The 23,255-nt window shown below is 36.4% G+C and overlaps 1 protein-coding gene across 14 annotated transcripts in view; it reads right to left on the bottom strand.

Annotated features, from left to right (window-relative positions):
- CNTLN (centlein) overlaps positions 1 to 23,255 on the bottom strand; it is a 393,595-nt gene that overhangs the window by 15,081 nt on the left and 355,259 nt on the right. For 11 of the 14 annotated variants that reach the window (NM_017738.4, NM_001365029.1, XM_017014841.2 and 8 more), the window contains one exon: positions 9,631 to 11,003. In NM_017738.4, coding sequence (NP_060208.2) covers positions 10,902 to 11,003 — 102 coding nt within the window. In that variant the 3' untranslated portion in view covers positions 9,631 to 10,901. Of the gene's footprint in view, positions 1 to 3,532; positions 3,734 to 9,630; positions 11,004 to 18,532; positions 18,648 to 23,255 lie in introns of those variants that run through there. The other 3 variants (XR_007061321.1, XR_007061322.1, XM_017014839.2) reach the window with 2 other exon arrangements.

Genomic DNA, 23,255 nt, shown 5'->3' with positions numbered 1-23,255 from the left:
GGCTAGTTTTTTGTATTTTTTGTACAGAAGGGGTTTCGCCATTTTGCTCAGGCTGGTGTTGAACTCCTAGGCTCAAATGAGCTGCCCGCCTGGGCCTCCCAAAGTGCTGGGATTACATGCGTGAGCCACTGCACCCAGCATGATATTTTATATTTCTTAAGTTCTATATTTAATTTTTTCAGTTCATTTTTAACATGAACACTTTTGGAGCTATTAATTCTCTTTTAAATAGAGCTTTAGCTATGTCTCATAGGTTTTTGGATTAAAAAAAAAAAGTATTCTCATTTTCATTATTTTCTAGATAGTTTGCCTTTTCCATCCTATTTATCTTTGCCTCACAGATGGTTTAAAAGAGTCAAAATTGTTATTAAAAGTATTTTCATTTTTCTTTTAATTTATGTCCATGGGAACATAATTCAACCAGTATAAAATGATAGACTAGGCCGGGCACCGTGGCCTGTAATCCCAGCACTTTGGGAGGCCAAGGAGGGCGGATCACGAGGTCAGGAGTTTGAGACCATTCTGGCTAACACGGTGAAACCCCCATCTCTACTAAAAATACAAAAAAAATTAGCTGGGCATAGTGGTGGGCGCCTGTAGTCCCAGCTACTCGGGACGCTGAGGCAGGACAATGGCGTGAACCCGGGAGGCGGAGCTTGCAGTGAGCTGAGATCGCGCCACCACACTCCAGCCTGGGTGACAGAGCAAGACTCCATCTCAAACAAAAACAAAAACAAAAAAATGATAGACTATAAAAGTCCTGTGTGTCTCCTAGCACAGAGCTCCCAGTCCTCTCTCCAGACGTAACTAATCTTATCAGATTCTGGTATTTCTTTTTAGGAGTATGAATATGCTGTGAAAATACATGTTTTGAAAAGTATTCTTTTTTGAACTCTCTTCTTTTCTTAATTATAGATTTGGGGGGTACCTGTGCAAGTTTGTTACATGGATGTACTATGTAACGCTGGGGTTTGCTGCTCTTCTAGTGAACATAGTATGCAACAGGTAGTTTCTCCAACACTTGCCCCTTTACTCTCTCCCCTATTTTGTAGTCGACTGTTTCCATCTTTATGTCCATGTGGACCATTGTTTAGCTTCCACTATAAAGTGAGAACATGTGGTATGTGACTTTCTGTTCCTGCAGTAATTCATTTAGGATAATGGCCTCCAACTGCATCCATGTTGCTGCAAAGGAAATGATGTCATTCTTTTTTATGAAAAGTATTCTTTAGCTTCAGTTTAAATTGATAAAAGGCCTCCTAAGGCTACTGATACGGTATGTAGATTTCAGGGGTCCAGGGCTTATTCTACTTTGGCTTTGAATCTCTAATGCTTTACACTGCCTGCTTCCTGCTTTCAACATTGTTTCCACAGTTCAAATCTGAGAAAGGTCTATAGAATGGACTTAGTTGGCCTTTTAAATTTGTAGATTTCTGACACTGGTTTTAGTTCATTTACTGTGGAAGAATAATTGTGCTGTCCCAACCTCTTGATCTCAAGTCTAGAAATGGTATTAAATACCTCCATAATTTCACCTGTTGAGCATCTTTATGTGACAGACCTCACTCTAGGCAGGGTTCTTTTTATGTATATCCTATGGTGGTACCAAGAAGTAGTTGTAATTTTGCAACCCATAAGCTGCATCTGTCTTCCTCCCCTAAACCTTCACAAATAAATATTTATTCTAAGTCCACTCTATGCTCACCTTGCAGACAGCTTCAAGGCAATTTCCCCAGTAGCCTCCCCTTTATCTAGAGCACCAAACCTAAACACCTGCTGTGGTGGGCAGCTCATGAAATGGCTCCTAATAATTCCCACCACTTGTTATTCACGCTCTTGTCTAATCCCCTCCTGGTGTGTGTGTGTGGGTGTGCACGTGTGCGTGTGTGTGTGTGTGTGTGTGTGAGAGAGAGAGAGAGAGATAAAGCAAGTTGCCATATTGAAGAGACTCGTGTGGCAAAGGACTGAGGACAGACTCCAACCAATAGCTAGCAAGGAAGCCCTAAGTCCAACTGAGAACAACTGAACTGTGTGGAACTGAATCCTGCCAACAGCCATATGGAAGAGCTAGGAAGTGAATCCTTCTGAGTCAAGCCTTGCGATGACTGCAGCCTTGTGAGAGATCCAGTGTCAGAGGACCCAGATTCTTGATCCACAGACACTGGCCCAAATAAATGTTGTTTTAAGCCACTAGGTTTTAGAGAAATTTATTATGCAGTGATAGATAATGACACCTGCTTTTTCAAAGTTCCTTGTAAAACCCATGATAATTGCTGGGAGGTGATTGTCCAGGTAATAGTTCTGGAGAAGAGTTATATATGTCTGATCCAATTCCCATCAACCTGTCCTTATCATCCCATGCTTTCTAAAAAGACCACATAAGCAGGTTTTGGAGACAGAAAAACAAAAAATGATGACAAATGTTGGGGTGAGAATGGTGGAGCTGGACTAGAACTCAAAAAGAAAAATATCTCTACTACATACCCATTAGAATAGTTAAAACTATTAAGAGTACCAAGTCCTGGAGAAGATGCAGACCAACTTCATCTCTCAGACATGGTTGGTGGGGTTGCAGAGTGTTATAGCTACCCTAGAAAACACTTTTGCAGTTTCTTATAAATTTAAACACACACTTACTATATGACCCAGCAATCATATTTGTGGGTAATTCCTCTAGAGAAGTGAAAACTTATGTTCATACAAAAACCTGTACTTGAATATTCATGATAGCTTTATATGCAATAGCCAAAACTTGGTGTATTAGGGTTCTCTAGGAAAACAGAACCAACATGGGGAAACAGACAGATTTATTCTGAGGAGTTTCCTCATGGAATTATGGAGCCTAGCAAGTCCAAAATCTGCAGAGTGGGCAGGCAGGCTGGAGACCCAGAAAGAGCCAATGTTGTAATTCAAGTCCAAAGGCAAACTGCTAGCAGACTTCTCTCTTGCTTGGGGGACAGTAGTCTTTTTCTTGTACTCAACTAACTGAATGAGGCCCATCCCACATTATGGAGGGCAATCTGCTTTACTGAAAGTCCACTGACTTAAAGGTTAATCTCATCCAAAAACATGCTCACAGAAACATCCAGAATGTCTGACCACATATCTGAGCACCATGACCCAATCAGGTTGACACACAAAATTCATCAAGTCCACCCTTGTCAACTGAACACACATGCACAAACATATTCATTTCAAAATATGGAGGAAATACTCAGATAAATGTATTTCTCATTTATGTAATTGGTCATGTGGTCACTATGGTCATATGGTCACTGTGGTTATGTGGTATTTCTAACAACTTTCTTCAACTACTTATTCCCTATTCCCTTTCCCCTCACCAAACACCTCAGCTGGTTGTAGTTCTTTTCTTGGTGGGAAACCCAAACCTTCAATCCTGAAGTGTCTGGGCCATTAGCAGTCCTGAATGAATTGGGTTGTGGTAGTTTTTCATTGACTTTAACCACATGGCATAGTAATACTAAGAGATACCGTAAAGGATCACCTGTATTCCAGATATATTCTTCCTTACCTCCATTGTAGAGTAGTAGTCCAATTTCCCCTTGGTAGTCAGGATCACTCACCCCAGCCAGCAATGTAACCCCCTTCTTTGTCTGTTGCTTTGGAAGCATGAGGAAGCCAAAGCAGCCAGGCAGCAGTTTTAAATTCCAGTGCAATGAAATCAGTGTTGTGTCTCCTGGTGGAAGCATCTCTCTCTTTGGAACTAAGACCTCTAGGATAGGAAAGCATAAAGTCACAAGAACAGGAAGCAAACATTTTGCTAATAGGTCACTAGGGATAATGATGAGAGGTGCCACTCCCAATTCCACCCCCTGATTTGTGGATCCATGAACCCTGGCTATGGGAGAAATGGCACCATATATTAGACACTGATTTCAAGTGTATACAGCCTTCTGGGGAACTTTGCCATACCTTGCAAAGTTTTACTTCCTATCTGGCACTGTAACAGTCTTCAAAAGGCCATTCCACTATTCTATCAAACCAGCTGATTTAGGATGGTGACGAACATGAATTTCATGAGCACAGGCCCATTGCCACACTTCATTTGCTTGAAGTAACTTCCTTGATCACAAACAATGCTGTGTGCAATGCCATGGTGGTGGATAAGGCATTCTGTAAGTCCACAGATGGTAGTTTTGGCAGAAGCATTTTGTGCAAATAAGGCAAACCCACATCCAGAGTGTCTATTCTAGTAAGAACAAAACCTGGCCCCTTCCATGATGGCAGTGGTCCAATGTAATCAACATGCCACCAGGTAGCTGGCTGATCACCCCCAGGAAATGGTGCCATATCAAGGGCTGAGTGTTGGTCTGTGCTACTGAAAGATTGGGCACTCAGTAGTGGCCATAGCCAGGTCAGCCTTGGTGAGTGAAAATTCCTGCTTCTGAGCATATGCCATAACTTCTATCCCTGCCACCATGGCCACTTTGCTCAGAAGCCCACTGGGCAAAGACAGGGGTGGTTGGAGAAAGAAGCTGACGTGCATCTACAGAGCAGGTTATCCTATCCTATCAATTTGATTATTAAAATCCTCCTCGCTGAGGTCACCCTTTGGTGAGCATGACATGGGATGTAAATATCTTCACATTATTTGCTCATTCAGAGGGGTCCATCTAAAAACCTCTTCTCCAGATTTCATTGTAACCAATTTTTCAATCATATTCTTTCCTAGTCCCTGACCTTCAAGAGTGGTGTGTAATTGCACGTGTCCTTTGACGGGTAAATGAATAAACCAATTGTGGTATGTCCATATAATGAGATGCTACTCAGCAATTAAAAATAAGTGGGCTATTGATATATACAATGATTTAGATGGATTTCAAGGACATTATGCTCTCTGAAAGAAGCCAATGTCAAAAGGCTATACATTCCATAATTCCATTTATATAACACTCTCAGTGACAAAATTATAGTGATGATGAACAGGTCGGTGGCGGCCAGGGATTAGAGTTAAAGGGAGGGTGTGAGTGCTAAGGGGTAACATGAGGAATAGTCTTTGTGCTGATGGAACAGTTCTGTATCTCAATTGTGGTAATGCTTGTATAATCTATACATGTGACAAAATGTCCTAAAAACACTCCAACGAAGTGAATGTAAAAACTTAAATCCATCTATGGTCTATATTTTAGTTAAAAATATTGTACCAATGCCATCTTCCTGGTTTGGACAGTGTACTGTGGTTATGTAAGATGTTACCATTCAGGGAATCTGGGTGAAGTGTATTCAAAAACTCTGCTTACTATTTTTGCAACTTCTTGTGAATGTTAAATTATCTTGAAATAAAATGTCATATAAAAATAAAGAAAAATCTGGAAAATAAAAATGTCTTGACTATGCTTTTCTTTTTCTGCCTTGGGTCCATCACTGAATTCATGAGGAGAGTGTCACGGTTAGTGCACTAAGGAAGAACACAGAGGGTTGTATGCTAAAACAATTCTGACCTACAGGGTGGAGCATGAACCCAGGGAAGTCTCTAATACTTCTCTCTGGGTGACTCTGAGGCCTTCACGCTAGGGTCAGCATTAACAAAGAGCAACATTTTCTCTAACACAAAATGTAAGAGTACAGAAGGCAGGGGCACCACCTTCTTTTAAATTATCCCTAATGATCATTTCCTAGGTGAAAGGAAAGTTGAATGTGGCAAAAAGTGTTGGAAGGAGCTGATGTCAAAACTCTGGTTTTGTAGACTGTGTCTGCTGAAGAAAGAAGGAAACTGAGGATTGGACTATGCGCAGAAGTGTTTGTAGTGTCTACCATTCCTTGGTGAGCAGAAAAAAATTTCTGATCAAATATGTCTGTGTATTTAAAAATTAAAAGTCGAAGCTTTTTTAAAAAATCATCTTTTTGATGAAAGATTTCATGTCACAGGCAACAAAAAAGTCATTTTTATCCATTATATTAAGCCACTTATATAAATTTGTGTTAATACCAAAGGCAGTTACGTGCATGGAAATGTAGGAATTAGAAATAGCAACTCTTCGAACTAAAAACCGAATTACTATTTGACCCAGTAACCCAATTAGTAGTTATATATGCAAAGGAAAGTAAATCATTCTATTAAAATGATATCTACTTTTGTATGTTCATAGCAGCATTCTTCACAATAGCAAGGATATGGAATCAACCCAAGTGCCTATCAATGGTGGATTGGATAAAGAAAATGTGGAAGATATATACACCATGGAATACTATGCAGCCATAAAAAAGAACAAAAGCATAGCCTGTGCAACAGTGGAAATGGAGCTAGAAGTCATTGACCTAAGCAAATTAATACAGAAACAGAAAACAAAATACCTCATGTTCTCATTTAAAAGTGGGAGATAAACATTGGGTACACACAAATACAAAGATGGAAACAATAAGCACTGGGGATTCCAAAAGTGGGGAAAAGGAGGGAGAGAGGGTTGAAAAACTATGTATCAGGTACTGTTTGCTACTTGGGTGATGAGATTATTAGAAACTCAAAGCTCAGAATCATGCAATGTATTCATTTAGCAAACCTACACACGTACCCACTGAATCTAAAATAAAATAAAGACAGGATTTTGAATGTTCTTAAGACAAATAAGTAATAAATGTTTGAGGTGACAGATATAATTACCCTGATTTAATTATTACCCAATGTACGCATGCATTGAAACATTCTATTTTACCCCATACGTATGTAAAATTATGTATCAATTAAAAATTTTTTAAGAGGAAAAAAATAGCAACTCTTCTGCCCATGTATCTCATGAACTCTTCTGAACATAGGCCAATAAAAGGCTCTCTCAAATGTTTTCTGGTACATTTTGTTGTTTTTACAGTTATTTGAGAACATTAAGTAAGCTTCTCTTGTTGTGGCTACAAATTTATTATAGTAATTTTCACTTTCGACCCTCTAAATCCAAAGGTCATTTTTGCTACTGGGAAGAATCCTGCATAATATGGAGAAGAAATTAAAATAGGCAAAGCTGTCAGTAGATGAGTAAGGGCTAGCGTTGAAGAATGAAATTCACTCTTTCCGCTGTCCCATATTCTGAAACACACATAAACATGACAACTTTCACTTATAGCAGCCATAGCCCCAAGCTTATTTCATAATTTCCCAGGATATAAATAAATGTTACTCACAGAGGACTGCCTTGTTGTTGTTTACTGTTGAGTTTTGGGAATTGTTTATTTTAGATATGAATCCTTTGTCAGTGATTTGCAAATGTTTTCTCCCAGTCTGTAGCTTGTCTATTCCCAGGGTGAAAGTTTTTAATTTTGATGAAGTAAAACTTATCAATTTTTCTTTTTTGCATCATGCTTCTGGTGTCATGGCTAGAAATTCTTCACCAAATCTGAGGTCCTGAAGATTTTCTCTCATGTTATATTCTACATTTTACATTTAAATGTTGACCCATTTTGATGTAATTTATGTCTGAATGTGTGATGTGTGAGGTTTAGGTCAAGATTTTTTTTTTTTTTTAACCCAAGATGCCCAACTGCTTCAGGACCATTTGTCAAAAAGGTGATTATGCCTCTATTGAATTGCTTTTGAACCTTTGTCTCAAATCAGTTGGGCATATTTGCTTAGGTGTATTTCTTGGTTCTCTATTCTTTTTCATTGATTTATTTGTCCAGCCCTCTACCTGCCAGCACCACACACTCCTGATTAGTGTAGCTATTTAATACACCTTGAAACTGGGTAAAGTGATGTCTCCCACTATTATGCTCTTAGTTTTACTTAAAAGCTATTCTAGTTTCTGAGTTCCCATATACATTTTAGAAAAATGTTCTCTATTTCCTAAATCTCTTGCTGTGATGTTGGTAGGAATTGTGTTAAATCTCTATATAAATTTGGAGACAGCTGGCATCTTTAACATAAGTATCCTAACCCATGGTCTTACTATGTCTCCTAATTTATTAGATCTTTTTCATTTCTTTCGCTAGTGTTTTATAATTTTCATACACAAGTACTATGCATGTTTTGCAGGTTTTATACCTAAGTATTTCTCTTTTTCGGGAAATTGTACATTGTATTGTATTTTTAATTTCATTTTCCACATTTTTTTACTAGCTTACTAGTGTATAGAAACACAATCTTTCCATGTTGATTTTGCATCTTGAGATCTTGCTGGACTCATTAATTCTGTAAAGTTTTTTGTTTTTGTTTTGAGTGGTTATTTTTCTTTTTCCTTTCCAATCTGGATGCCTTTTATTTCCTTTTCTTGCCTTATTAGGCTGGCTAGAATTTCCCACGTTATGTTGAGAGAGAGTGGTGAGAGTTGAAATCTTTGCCTTCTTCCTGATTATAGGGGGAAGTGTTTGGTCTTCATCATTACATACAATGTTAGCTGTAGGCTTTTAAAAGATGGTCTTATCAAATTGAGAAGTTCCTATTTATAGTTTTCTGAGTTTTTTTTAAAATAAATGAGTGCCAATTTTTGTCACATGCTTTTTCTATATCAAATTTTATGATTGTGGGGTATTTTTAGCCTCTTAATATGGTGGTTTACACTGATTGAACCAGCTTTGATTGTGTATCTTTTGACCAATATCCCTCATGAACATAGATGTAAAACTTCTAAACAGATTTCTGGCAAATTCTATTTGTTTTCTATTGTTGCAGTCACAAAGTACCACAAACTTAGTGGCTTAAATTAGATAAAATGTATTATCTTACAGTTCTAGATGTCCAAAATCAGTTTCACTGGGGTAAAGTCAAGGTGCTGACAGGACTGAGCTTTTCCTAAGGCTCCAGGAAGAATCTGTTTCCTTGCCTTTTCTGGTCTCCAAGGGCCATCCACATCCTTTGGCTCATGGCCGTTTCCTCCATATTTTAAGCCAGTACTGTGGCATCTTCAAATTTCTCTTTCTACCTCTCTGGTAACATTATTCTCTCTCTCTGACTCTTCCTACCTCCCTCTCATAAGAGCACTTGTGGTTTCATCAGGCTCACATCGGTAATCCAAGATAATCTTCCCATTCAAGATCCTTGACTTAATCATATTTGCAAATTTCCTTTTGACATATAAAGTAACACATTCGCAGGTTTCGGGGACTAAGGAGTGAACATCTTCAGGGGCCATTTCTCAGTCTACCATATTTTCTTTTTTTGTACACTGTCTTTGTTTAGTCTTGGTATCAAGGTCATACTAGCAGTCTCATTTTTATCTTTGTAATAAAATTCTGTCGTAATGAGGTATTACATTTTAAGTTTTGTAATTTTTTATTACTCGTGCTTTCCTGTGAGTTGGGAATATTGTGATGAATGCTTAGTATGGTAATGTTTTAATTGCATTCTTTGGGTATACAGTGTCATCACATAATAAACACAATGCTTCGCCATCCAATTCAATAACAAAATCCACACTTCATTGTGCCTTAAGTGTGTGACATTTGATGGTCATTTCTTTCTTCTTTTCCTGTTTTGACATGAAAAGTGTGTACTGGTATTTTTTTTTTAATTGCAGTAAGGCAGTATTTGTGTCACCTAAAATTCTGTCAAGTTGTAACTGTGTCATTGTTATCTGTAGCATTCCAAGCAGGAGAGAAGCACAGTCTCTTCCATTAACTACTATTCATCTACACTCATGTAGTGTGAAAGCAGCCATAAACAGTAAAGAAATGAATGAGCACCACTGTGTTCCAATAAAACTTTATTAACAGACACCAAAATTTGAATTTTATATAATTTTCACATGCTACAAAATATTATTCTCCTTTTGATTTTTTAAAAACCATTTAATAAGGCAAAAACCATTCTTAGCTTGTGGGCCATACAAAACAGGTGGCAGGCCAGATTCGCCCTGCAGGCTATAATCTGCCAACCCTTGCCTTAATCTCATGGGACCTACATACTAAAGAGGGAAAAGAAGAAAATAAACAAGAAAACAAATACATGAACAGATAGATAATTTTGTGCTATGAGGAAATAAAATAGTAAGCTGGTCAGAGAATGTGTCTCTGAGGGACCGGGGAAGGTGGAGCTGAATGATGACAAGGAGCCAGCCATGAGGAAAGTTGAGTGCAGAGTATTCTAGAAAGAGAGAAGACCAAGGGCAAATGTGGGAGGCAGGCACCAGTATGGTGAATTAGAGGAACCAAAAAGGGTATGGCAGGAACACGGTGAAGAGGTGAAATGAGGTGGGAATGTCCAGGAATCTAAATAAGGATGACATCATGGTTAAGAATGTAACTTAAATTAGCTGACCACAGTAGTAGTTCTGTTAAATAGAGCCTAATTTTATACATTGGGTTTGTGGTTCCCTGCAAATTTATATGACTACACAACGTATAGTATTGTGAAGTTAAGAGAGAGAAGAAGAAAATGTTTTTGTTTTTGCCAAAGAGTTGTAGAAATACACAGTATCTCCTACATAAACCAGCACATCAATGAGAACAGATTCAATTGGACCACACAATTTATTTCAATAAATGCTCAAGTTATGATGCTTCATTTTATATTTGCTCATACTACAAATCTGTTGCTCCCTGGACCACTTATGGCCATCTATAGCAGTTTTATGTAAAAAGTCTAGTTTCTTCATGAAACGTAAAACATTAAATCCTTAGTTGATACTTTTTCTTCTTATGCTCAGGCCAATTTGTGTGTACCAAGCCTGCTCAGTTTCTTTTAATGCACTAGAAGGAAAATCATTTTTAAGTTTGCACTGATTTGTGGCAATATTTGTATTCGACCATCAGATGCTACACTATTTCCTTTTAAATGGCTATGTACTTAATTAGTTTCACTTGTTCAGCAATTAATTATTTTCAGAGACTTCTTATTTTGGTATTGAACCTGACTATTGATAGTTGGAGCAGATACCGTGTCAGGATTGCAATGCATGTATTCCAATCACACCACATAAAAAGTTTTCACATTTGCAATAAAGCTCTCCATTTTAATATCATCTAATATCTTTCATAATTGTGAAATATCCTTCAACTAGTTTCTTTTTTTCATTTATTTTTTCCAGTACTGCTTCTAGTAAATATGAGGCAAAAGGAAGCTGTAAAAGAAACACAAAAAAGATTATTAAAACTCTATATTTTCTTCAGTTCAAAAACATACTAAATATTATTAAACCATTAGAAGTTAGATGTCTGCAACTTTGCAGCCATAATGGTACCCTACTGGATCTCTTTTCTACTGATCTTGCTGGTTAGTGTGGGTAATTTTGTCTTTTCTAATAAAAATGACAAAAGAGCAAAAGTAAAATGAAAAAAGATAAACGCCTTATTGAACAATTCATGGTTTACTGACCATGTTAATGATGTAATCTGCAATACAAGCAGCTAAGCCATTTATCTTCAATCAGCTGATCAATAGTAGGTTACAGTCATCTCTAGGGCACACGGGCCCACAGAAGTAGTACTGTGTGTTCATCACTCATAAAAGAATGAGAGAGAACCATCAATCCACATGTCTGCGTTAGAGCCGAAAATCTCAAGAATTGTAGAGTGAAAACTTCAGAGGAAAAAATCGCAAAAGTATACCCATTGATTAAGTTGTTATAGAAAAGTTGTTTGGCATATCAAAGTGTAATACACATGTTGCAAACTGCTGAGTTTATGAAATGTAGACTACATTTTTAAATTTCATAATTTATATAACTTTTCTGGTCAAGTTTTATTGTTCCCTCTGCTTCACTGAGTTGCCTGTAGAACTCCAACTCATCCAATACAGTTATACAGTTATAGGTGGTAAGTAAAAGACAATCTGAAATGCAGCCCCAGTTACTTCTGAATCCTAGAAATTTCTCTTATCCTTATTCTCAGCTACATAGCCTCACATAAGAGGTCTGTCATAATTAAGAAGTTTGTTAAGTCATTTCTTGGACTTGTCCTTTAGATCAACCAGGGATAGACTACTTCTGTTTCTCTGAATATATTAATGGGAATGCTTAGCATGCCCAGCCCCCTTCCCTGCAGGGCAGTAGCATCAGGCCCATTTTTGTGCTAGGATGGACGACTGACAGCATCACTGTCGGCATCTGACCCAAGATGGCCTAACGGCCTTTGTCTGGGTCCTCAGCTATGCTCCGCTAAGGTGTCTATAATTAAACCAATCAGAATGGCTCTTTGCTAAATTTGGACTGGAGAAAAGAGAAAAGACTAGCTGTGGTAGTAGAACTAAAGAGCAGGCAGGCAAAAACAAATAGACCACATTAGCCATGAAAGAGAAATAGAGACCACATCTGATCCAGAAAACTGCCTCAGACCCAAAGAGCATTCTAGTTTAAGTCCCTTCTTATGTTTACAGTAATCTGCCTTCTCCTTAAGGTAGCCTGAGTCTGTGTCTGTTCCCTAGAAACCCAGGAGCTTCACATATTTGTCTTACTTGAAACTTACCACTAAAGAAAGTATAAGATACCAAAAGAGCACATTTCTTCAGTTTTAAGATACAGATGAATAGAAGACATATACATTGACTTTAAAATAGCTTTTCTAGGGGGAAAAACCTACCACATCAAACACACTCATATTGCACATGCATCCCAATTTCAGGAATGTGAAGAAGTGGGAAAAGCATATCTTAGAGATAAGCAAAAAGAATATGATCAGTTCTCTTATGGAGGATAATGATAAAAGCAGTACGCTTTAATTTTGACAAATTGCTTTTCTTGGATGTAAAAAAGAGTTACCTTGGACAAAGATGCCAGTTTTACAAATAAAAATTTAAACCTTGAGAGCATTAATTTTAGGTGTGAAAGAAATGCACAAAAAAATGACAAGACTACAGGGCAACTTTCATTTAAATGATGTCACGCAGTACTACACGCATTCCTATCTAAAAGGAAAATACAAGAAGGGAGTAATTTCCCGTCCCTTACTGGTGGAAACAAGGCAGAAGTGTTTCATTTTCTAAAATTGTTCTCTAATCAAATACATTTGGGAAACAAACCAAACTTCTACCTCTTAAGAGTCTTTAAAAGGCTAACAGGCACTGATCTCTCCAAGAGGGCAATATAATATCCTATTTCTAAATTCACTTGTCCATCCTGTTCTCATGGTCTATTTATCAGGCGGAAATAGTGGCCCATGAAACACAGCTTGGGGAACATGCTGGTTGTATCATTTCCTGTGTAATAATGTCACAGACCTTTCACCAGTCCACAATGTGTTGGCATTAATCATATTGTTTGCAAATTTCATTTTCAAATTTAAATCTAAATCTACTCTTATTATCTTGTAATCTGAACAATTTTCAACATGGACATTACCTTTAAAAAGTCAAGCTCAAATAACTCTTCCAGAAAGCCTCCAATGTGGAATGGGAAGTCCATTTACGAATTTATTACCAACTCCCTTTATTCTCTTGCCCTGGCTCCCAATAAAACTCAAAGCCTCAGAGTTAAACACAACTGTATGCCAACCCTGTTTTATTAGATTATAAGCTTCCTTTAAGCTTTTTATAGAGGATAACACATTTTGGATTTCAAAAAGGAGTCAATCCTTAAATCAAAATGCAGAGTATGTGTACATCTACTGCCCTTGCAGGAACCTATTTGTCTATAATCGTTCAGAAGAATCATATTATTTGTCATTACATAACTTTAGACAAAATTTCATATATCTTACTAGTGTGAGATTTAAAATTTTTATTTTAATTCAATTTTTCTATTTTCCCTTTCTATGAACCAATTGACAATATTTTCCTCTAAACCCAGTGCTCACTCTACTTGCTGTTTATACCTTATGGTTTATTGCTAACTGTAAATTCAGCTTTCAAAGAGGTCTTCCAAAAATTATTTTTTAAATACATAAGGCTCAGTCATAATTAAGGTAATTTTATAACAGAAAATATGACAAAATAGTTAATAATTGAAACAAATTTAGAGGAAGACTAAGAAAAAGTCAGAACTACAAAACAATATTTTGTAAAATCTACTTATGTTTTCAAATAAATGCAACAATTTAAAGTAACTGTCAATTTAAAAAAATTTAAGTAGCTGTGCCTTCCTGCTTTACAAATAGTTCTTGGTTTATGGAACAGATTCAATATGTATTCAAATAATGAATGCACTAACAACTTTGGTTTTAAAAATAACCTCTCTTACCAAGTTTATACTATTCATTTATTTAGCAAACATTTTTCATAGATTGTACACAAAACAATTCTGCTTAGTCTAGAATGTATTACCAAAAGATTTTGTTTATAAAAATGGCTAAGAGTGGAATTTTCAAGTTAACTGGCTATTTTGGTTAATTGAGAGTTATTACTTATAACACGCTAACTCTTAAACATCATAAATTATAGTTAACCTGAAAGTCAGATGGAACATAATTTAATCTTCAGTGATTCAAGAAAGCTCTTCAAAATCTTATAGTACCACATGAACATCAATTCTCAGCATGTAGCTCTAGGTTGGTTAGAGTTAGGACTGACACTGTACTTAAAATACAACATGCCTTGGAAAGCACTTTAAAAATTCACATGGTCTGCTTATTTGTTTGCCATATTTTTTTGAGTGCAAAATGTTTTAAAAACACTAAGAACAAGAGAGCCAAACCTTCTACTTTGAAGTCCAGATTAAATGCATATTTATTTCATACAAGGAGTTTATAGTTAATTATATTATCTTTATATGCATTCTGGAAGGGGCTACGTCTCCCTTAGAAATCTCTGAGGGAGACATACAGACAGGCATAGCTGCCCTTTTACTAATAGGATTTTAGAGTTGGATAGAAGTGGCAATCTGACTGACCACAGCAAAGATCTTGCACCCTATCAAATACATCTGAAACAACAAACCAACATTATGCTGCTGTGGGTTTCATCTCAGATGGTATTTGCCAGGGATTACAAAGTCCAGAGAGCCTGCATGATTTCTTTTTCTCTCTTGGATAAAGAAGGAGAAATGATATTCCTGGGCATATCAGCACAGAGTTAGACATGCTTGAACTCTTTAGCATAAAGAGAAAAATGGACAGGTGAAGATTTCATACTGAGTGAAATTTCTTGGCATAGAAATTTAACGGGGATATCTGACAAAGTTTGCCTCGGTCTATAGGTAGTCTTAAGGCAGATCTTCCTAGTCATTCTGGCTGTTCCTGCTGCAAAGAGTGATTTCCATTACTGGAGGGATCTCCCCTGATTTCACACAGATTTTTAGCTTCTCTGACATATAAATACCTACAGAAGTTTACCTTTAGGAACTGGTATGCAACTATCACAATCTTAAATTTATTACTCACACTTACAAATTGTGGCTTCCTTTAGAGGTGACATATAAATGATATAAATGATGACTGCAGATGCTTGAGAACTATCTTAGAAAAATAGCAGAGCTTAAATGATTGCAAAACATAAAAATAACTTATTACATCAGCATTAATGGGAATATACTCAATATAAAATTGAAATTCTTTTGCATTGAAAGAAAAAATGGAAATAAGGATAACTTTTAAGTATAAAGGACAAAATTAACAATTTGGCCATTTTAATTCTTGTTTTCTGTTTGAAGACTATGACCAAAAAGATACTTCTTGTAAGATAAAATGTGACTTTTATCTAGAGTTATATTGAAAGTGAAGAATATAAAATTTTATGAATTATATCTGCTCTTAAAATATGACTTAATGAGACCTTAGTAAGATACGATAATGTAGTTTATTATAAAATTAAAGGTGCAACATTTGGTATATGCATTTATTTACATACATATATATACATACAAGCACACACACAAATCTGCGTCGTTAGCATCCACTCTGTTATCTTGTAGTTAAAGACTGAACTTGTTAAAATAATCAAGAATGCTATCAGAAAGAACAATGTATTTATAATTTAAATTTGGCACTGAATTTTGAGTCACATCTCCTAAATGGTTGTTTCTATTTCTGCTGCATATCATAATAGAAAAAAAGAATTCTTGGAGTTCTGCTAAAAATGGACAGAGAAGGCTGTGCCTGCTGCTTTCAAACTCTGTTGAAGGCTATAGCTTTTTTCTCTTTAATTTTGAATTACTCTAGAAGTTGTAAGACAGAATGAAGAAAAAAGCTTCAAGGAGTGCTTCCGTAACACTTAAAGCAAATGGGTGATCTATTCTATTTATAAAGTCCTTGGGGTTGGGGAGATGCTTGGTAACTTACTTCAGGATTTAGTAAAATGAACTGCCAGCAAGTTCTTTAGGGCTATGGTAAGTTATGTAAGATAGAAGAGAAATTTAAGTTAGCCATAGACTTTCCTTCAAATCCAGAAGCATCTCTAGGCTGTGATTAGGCTTCTTGTCTGGTTCCTGTGTGACACTATAATTCTCGTCCCCAAAACTTGCCTAGATAGAGCTAAACCCTTGTCACTGGCTCCTCAGCAGCTGGGAGTTTCTTCCCCTCCCTCATTTTCCACTCCTATCAAGTCACTTTTCCCTAACTGATGACCAATATTCTCATAGATCAGAGACTACTGCTGTGCCTTCACCTTTAAGATAATGCTTTGGGCAATGATACCAGCACAAAAAGGAATTGAATTCCCTGAGCTCCCTTGGACATCAGTTTGGACCCCTATGAATTGTTTGGACATTGGTCTTACACAAAGCCTGACACATTACTTTACCCCACCTTCTCCAACCCCCTGCAAGACATTTTTGAAGTCCCAGTTGTCTTCTCACAAAGCCAGCACACATAATGACAAATACATCTTAATACTGGTATTCAGACTATCCTAATATGACTGACTTCGTTCTCAAATGCCAGGAACTGTGTAGTATATATACTTGAAGGGGATATGTCCATTCCTTGTATGCTCCTTCATGACTAGGTGAGATATACACGCTAGAGATAATGCTTTAAGAGTCTACAGTCCACTGTTAACAAGGAGTCCCTTTTAATGTAGACATTAAAGAAAGAATTTGGGGGCTCAATAGGACTAGGTGTGAATACCAATGTTTATCACATGGATACAAACTCCGAGTTCAGGAAAAGAAAGCTTAACTGATATAAAAAGTATTTAGCAGGTAGACCCTTGTTATTAACTAAATGCTTGTGTTCCCCCAAAATTTGTATGTTGAAATCCTAAACTGCAATGTGATGGTATTAAGAGATAAGGGCTTCGGGAGGTAATTAGGTCATGAGGATGGAAGCATCCTGAATGGGATTAGTAGCCTTATAAAAAGAGATAGGAGAGCTTACTCGCTCCCTTGCTCACTCTGCTATGTGAGAATACAATGAGAAGACCAAGATCTACAAAACAGGAAGAAGGCTCCTATGGCTAATGCCTGATCTTGGACTTCTCAGACCCCAGGAATGTGAAAAATAAATGTTTCCCAGTCTATGGTATTCTGTGATAACAGCCTGATATGACTAAGAGAACACTTAATAGTACAGGTAGGAAAAATAAAGGGATGGGGAAGGATCCAAAAGAGAACTGAATTATTCAGTCTCTTGTTCATCACTGTGTCACTCAGTGTTGATTTAAATATGTTGCTCCAGAATCTGGATGAATGTGGATAGTGAATTATACCTCCTCAATGAAAGCACTCTACAAATACAGTTATGCATCACTTAGCAATAGGGATGCATTTTGAGAAATACATTGTTAGGCAATTTTGGCGTTGTCCAAACCTAGATGATATAGCCTGTTACACACCTAGGCAATATGCTATGGCCTATTGCTCCTAGGCTAGAAACCTGTTACTGCATGTTACTGTACTACATATTGTAGGCAAATGTAATACAATCATAAGTATTAGTATACCTAAACATAGGAAAGGCGTAGTAAAAATATGGTATAGAAGACTTTATAAAATGGTACCCGTGAATAGGACACTTACCATGAATGGAGCCTGTGGGACTGGAAGTTGCTCTGGGCGAGTCAGTGAGTGAGCGGTGAGTAAATGTGAAGACTTAGGACATTACTGTACACTACTGTAGATTTTATAAACACTGTATACTTAAGCTTCATTAAATGTATTAAAAAACCTTTTTCTTTCTTCAATAATAAATTAACTTTAGCTTACTGTAACTTTACTTTGTAAGCTTTAATTTTTGACTCATGTAAGAACACTTAGCTTAAAACATAAACATACTGTACAGCTGTATAAAAACATTTTTATATCCTTATTCTGTAAGGATATAAATAATTTTGTATTTTTTTATTTTTAAACGTTTTAATTAAAGAATAAGACACAAACACACACATTACCCTGGGCCTACATAGGGTCAGGGTCATCACTATCCCTGTCTTCCACCTCCACATCTTGTCCCACTGGAAGGTCTTCAGGGACAATAACACAAACGGAGCTGTCACCTCCTATGTTAACAATGCCTTCTTCTGGAATACCTCCTGAAGGACCTGCCTTAGGCTGTTTTACAGTTAAGTTTTTTTTTTTAATAAGTATAAGAGTACACTCTAAAATAATGATAAAATGCGTAGCATAGTAGACTGGGCACAGCGGCTCACATCTGTAATCCCAGCACTTTGAGAGGCTGAGGCAGGCAGATCACCTGAGCTCAGGAGTTGGAGACCAGCCTGGGCAACATGGCAAAACCCAATCTCTGCAAAAGATAAAAAAAATTAGCTGGGCATGGTGGCACGCACCTGTAGTCCCAGCTACTCAGGAGGCTGAGGCAGAACTGCTCGAGTCTGGCAGGCGGAGGTTTTGGTGAGCCACGATTGCGCCATTGCACTTCAGCCTGGGAGACAGAGCAAGACTCTGTGACCAAAAAAAAAAAAAAAAAAAAAAGTATGGTATAGTAAATACATAAACTAGTAACAGACATTTATTATCATTATTGAGTATTATGTGCAGTACATAATTGTATACGCTATACTTTTCTATGGGTGGCAGCACAGCAGGTTTGTTTACACCAGCATTACCACAAACGAGAGTAATGTGTTGTGCTACAACCTTAGGATGGTTACAGTGTCACTTGTGGATAAGAATTTTTCAGCTCCATTATACCCTTAGCAAACTAATGCAGGAACAGAAAACCAAATATTGCCTATTCTCACTTATAAGTGGGAGCTAAATGATGAGAACATATGGACACAGAGAAGGGGAACAGCAGACCCTGGGGCCTATTTGACGGTAGAGGGTGGGAGGAGGGACAGGATCAGAAAAAAATAACTATTGGCTACTAGGCTTAGTACCTGGTTGATGAAATAATCTATACAACAAACCCCCACGACATGAGTTTACCTATATAACAACCTGCACATGTAGTCCTAAACCTAAAATAAAAGTTAATTAAAAAAAAATTTTCAGCTTCATTATCATCTTATGGGGACACCATTGTATAGTGTGGTCTGTCATTGGCCAAAATGTCCTCATGCAGTGATGACTGTATTTACTCTATAGTAGGCAATGGGTTAGGCATCTTCTGGGGAGACTAGTAGCAAATCTAGCAAACAGATATGCTTTTAAAATAAATTAAAAATAATTAAACATGAGAAATCACTAGCATACTAAGTTTGAGTTATTTTCCATGTATTTTCCCCAGGCCTCAAACGGTTATCCTTTTTAAGGGTGACAAAACACTTTTACAAGGGACAATGCATTTTGGCATGCATTATTTTATCATTCCAAATCTGTCAGGTGGTATTCTTTCTATCTTATAGTTGAAGATATTGAATTAAAGAGGCTTTAGTTACTTGCCTTGAGCTAACTTCTTCTCATGCTAACGTGAGACAGAACGCAACCCCAGGTCTTCTGACTATAAGCCATTGTAAGTTTACTGTGTGGAGAGAGTTCTGGTCAATATAAGGAGAAACCGAATGAATCTCAGGCACTCACGTGCTGAACATGGATTTCTTCAGCAGTTACTGAGTTTCCTATTATTCCACAAGGCAGAGCTCATGCTCTGGAAGAGTGGTTGGCTTAGATATTTTACAATGCAAACATTTTAAGTATGGAGTTTTGATTTTATTACCCATTGTGCTTCACGTATCTTGTTCTATTTTCTGCAGCCAAGGAAAAATCTAGCTCTAAATCTAGATGAAAAATGTTCTTGCTAATATCCCTCGAAAGTTAAAAAAACAGAATGAGGTGACATAGGATGGGCTTTTCAAGGTGCAAGAATAGGAGTCATTTTAATGCTTCTCTGGGTAATCCATATTTTTAGGGCACAATTTACTGACTTTTTGTTTTCCCTTAGCACGGTATAGGAGGTAAAAGATTACTCACTGTGCTCTCAAGGAACTTGTCTATCTAGAAGGCAAAACTGTTCCATACTATATTTGACTATACTATTTTGGCTCTTATATTAATAAGAGCCTCCCAATATTTTGGAAATCATAATGGAAATGAATATTACCTGTGTCCCCACATATATTGACTATAAATCCTACTTTAGATTTTTTAAAAATTGTTTTATGTTATAGAAATGATAAACATTTTATCATTTGAATCATTTTTAAGTCACTTACTCAGTGGCATTAATTACATTCATGTTGTTGTGTAACCATCACCACCTCTATCTCTAGGATTTTTCATCTTTCCAAACTGAAATTCCACGTATATTAAACAGTAACTCCCCATTCCCCTCGTTCCACCAGCCCTTGACAACCACCATTCTACTTTCTGTCTCTATGAACTTAACTAATCTCAAATAAGTGGAATCAGGGTATTTGTCCTTTTGTGTTTGACTTATTTCACTTAGCATAATGTCTTGAAGGTTCATCCATATTGTAGCATGTTTCAGTACTTCATGCCTTTTTAAGGCTGAATAATAAACTGTATGCATAAACCACATTTTGTTTATCCATTCATTCATCGGTGGGCATTTGGATCATTTCCATCATTTGGCTATTGTCAACAACGCTGTTGTGAGCATTGGTGTACAAATATCTGTTTGAGTTCCTGCTTCCAATTCTTTTGGAGATATACCCCAAGGCAGAATTACTGGATAATATGGTAACTCTATGCTTAATGTGTGGAGGAACTGCCATAGCGTTTTCCACAATAACAGCACCCTTTTACATTATCATTAGCAACATACAAGTGTACAATTTTCTCTGCCTCCTAACACTTATTAATTTCCTACTTTAGAGTTTAAGCTTTTTAAAGACATGAATTGTCCCATTTGTTTCCCATGCTGACTAGCACTTTTACATACTATCAGCACTCGATAAAAGTTTGTTGAATAAATAGTACTGCTAACTTCAAATAGATACAGCAATTGAATTAGCTGTTAATAAAGAACTTCCAGGCAGAAATCTCTTTATATTTGGTTGAGACTTAATTTTAGAATACTGGTTACAAACTTCTTTGTTTTCTTATAGCACAAGAATATATATTAGAGGAGGTAAAACTACACGAAGAAAACAATAAAATAAGAAAGAAAGAAAGAAAGAAAAAGGAATTACAAGAAAAAACTGATATTGTAGATTCAAATAAATTTAATTATTTTATTAAAAGGATCCTTTTAACTGTAATCACATTCTAGTGATACGAAAGTAGGCTTACTTTGTTAAATTGAAAAAAAACAGCAAGGCTGTGAGTAGAGAATTTTAAACTCTTGCTACTTCATCTAAATGTGAGGATTAATTCTGTATGGGTTACTGAGTGTGTAGGCTTACATGGATGAGACAGAGTGAGTGAGTGAGTATGTCAGTTTCTGAATGCATTTGTTATAAGTGCAACACAGGAAATAACCACAGAGTAAATGGCTTCAGAGATGCAAGGAGAAACTTTCAGTTAACCTTCAGGCTAGTAGTATATTCTATTTACAAAAGCCAGGGAGATTTATAAAACCCTTCCCACTGCCACACTGCAAGGCATTCTACAGAAGGTAAGCATATTTTGCAGAGAGGACACTGGGGAAAGTTAGCCATTTTAAATTTCAGCATTTGCAAGATCTGAAGCAACTAATAGGAACAGAGATATTTAAAGGTAAAGAAAAGCCACTGATCAAAGTCTTTACTTTAAATTCTCAAAAACTGAAGGCAAACAGACAGAATTTTTTATATAGTTCCAATAGAAGAAAATGATCTATACAAAGTGGACTAAAATGGACAAAATGAAACCTAAAAAAGGATTAGCAAATAACAAAGAATAAAGCAACACACCATAAATCAAGAACACATTTTCTAGCCATTCCTGTCTAAGGGTATTTATAGAAATCTTAGTAAAGACCCACACTCTGGTTATAACTATGTAATATTTGTTTTATACATATATACATATTTTAATGTATCTACCCACCCATAATTCTACTCAAGTTAACTACCTAGTAAATTTCATAGTTTATACATTTTAACTATTTATTGTCCTCCGTCCCCAGAAGTGTAAATTCTATTACAGTAGTGAATTTTTATCTCTTTTATTCACTGCCATATTCTCCAAACCTGAAATAATACCTGGCATGTAGAAGGTACTCATATATATATTTTTTAATGATTCCCGAGCACAGGCTCAGCTTAATTTCCACTAATTATTTTCATTGCCTTTATAAAGTCACAAGTGCAAAGGACTGTTTTGGGTATCATAAAGGCCTAAAAATGACCTTTATTATAATTTTAATTTGGGGGATCAGAATGGGCAGAACAGATAAACACTGTCTTTTAGTGGGCAAAGTTTAAAAAACTGACTCCTTGTTTGGATATGTGAACAGGTAAGACCAATTAGAATATAAAGGTAGTACATCTCCTTATGTGCCAACTGAAAAGAAACTATTGAGTTTGAAATAAAAATATTTATATCATTTACTCATATTTACAGCCACTAGACAGAATTCAAGTTCAATTGCATTTAAAGAAATCTCTGCTATTGGTGGGGGGCACAACACACGTGAAATAAGCAATTTATTAAATTTACTTTTAAATGTATTCTTTTTTTTCTTTTTGTAATATTTTCCATTATCAAGGAGTTAACTGTTTTAAGTGGAGATAAAATTCACATAGCAAAACTCACCATTTTAAAGTATATAAATCATTGGTTTTTAGTACATTCGCAAAATTGTGCAGCCATCACTAGTAATTCCAGAGCATTTTCATCATCCTCAGAGAAATTCTATCCGTAAGCAGTCACTCTCTATATCCCCCCAGCCTCTGGCAACCACAAACATACTGTCTATAAATTTGCCTATTTTTATATTTTGTATGAATGGAATCATAAAGTATGTAACATTTTATGCCTGGCTTTACTTCTTTTGTTTAACTAAAACTGCCTTACCTCTTTTGTTCCCTAAACCTCCAAAGATATCATTATCTTTCTCTCCTCATGTAGTATATTAAACTCACCCATCTTTTGGTTTCCACCCAGACCCCTTTCATCTAATCTCATTACTGCTATCTATTCACTCATTAGAATGTAGATCACAAT

The sequence above is a fragment of the Homo sapiens genome, chromosome 9, assembly GCF_000001405.40.
Source record: "Homo sapiens chromosome 9, GRCh38.p14 Primary Assembly".
Lineage (NCBI taxonomy): Eukaryota > Metazoa > Chordata > Mammalia > Primates > Hominidae > Homo > Homo sapiens.
The sequence above is the reverse complement of the archived record's forward strand: the minus strand, read 5'-3'. Positions and strand labels throughout refer to the sequence as shown.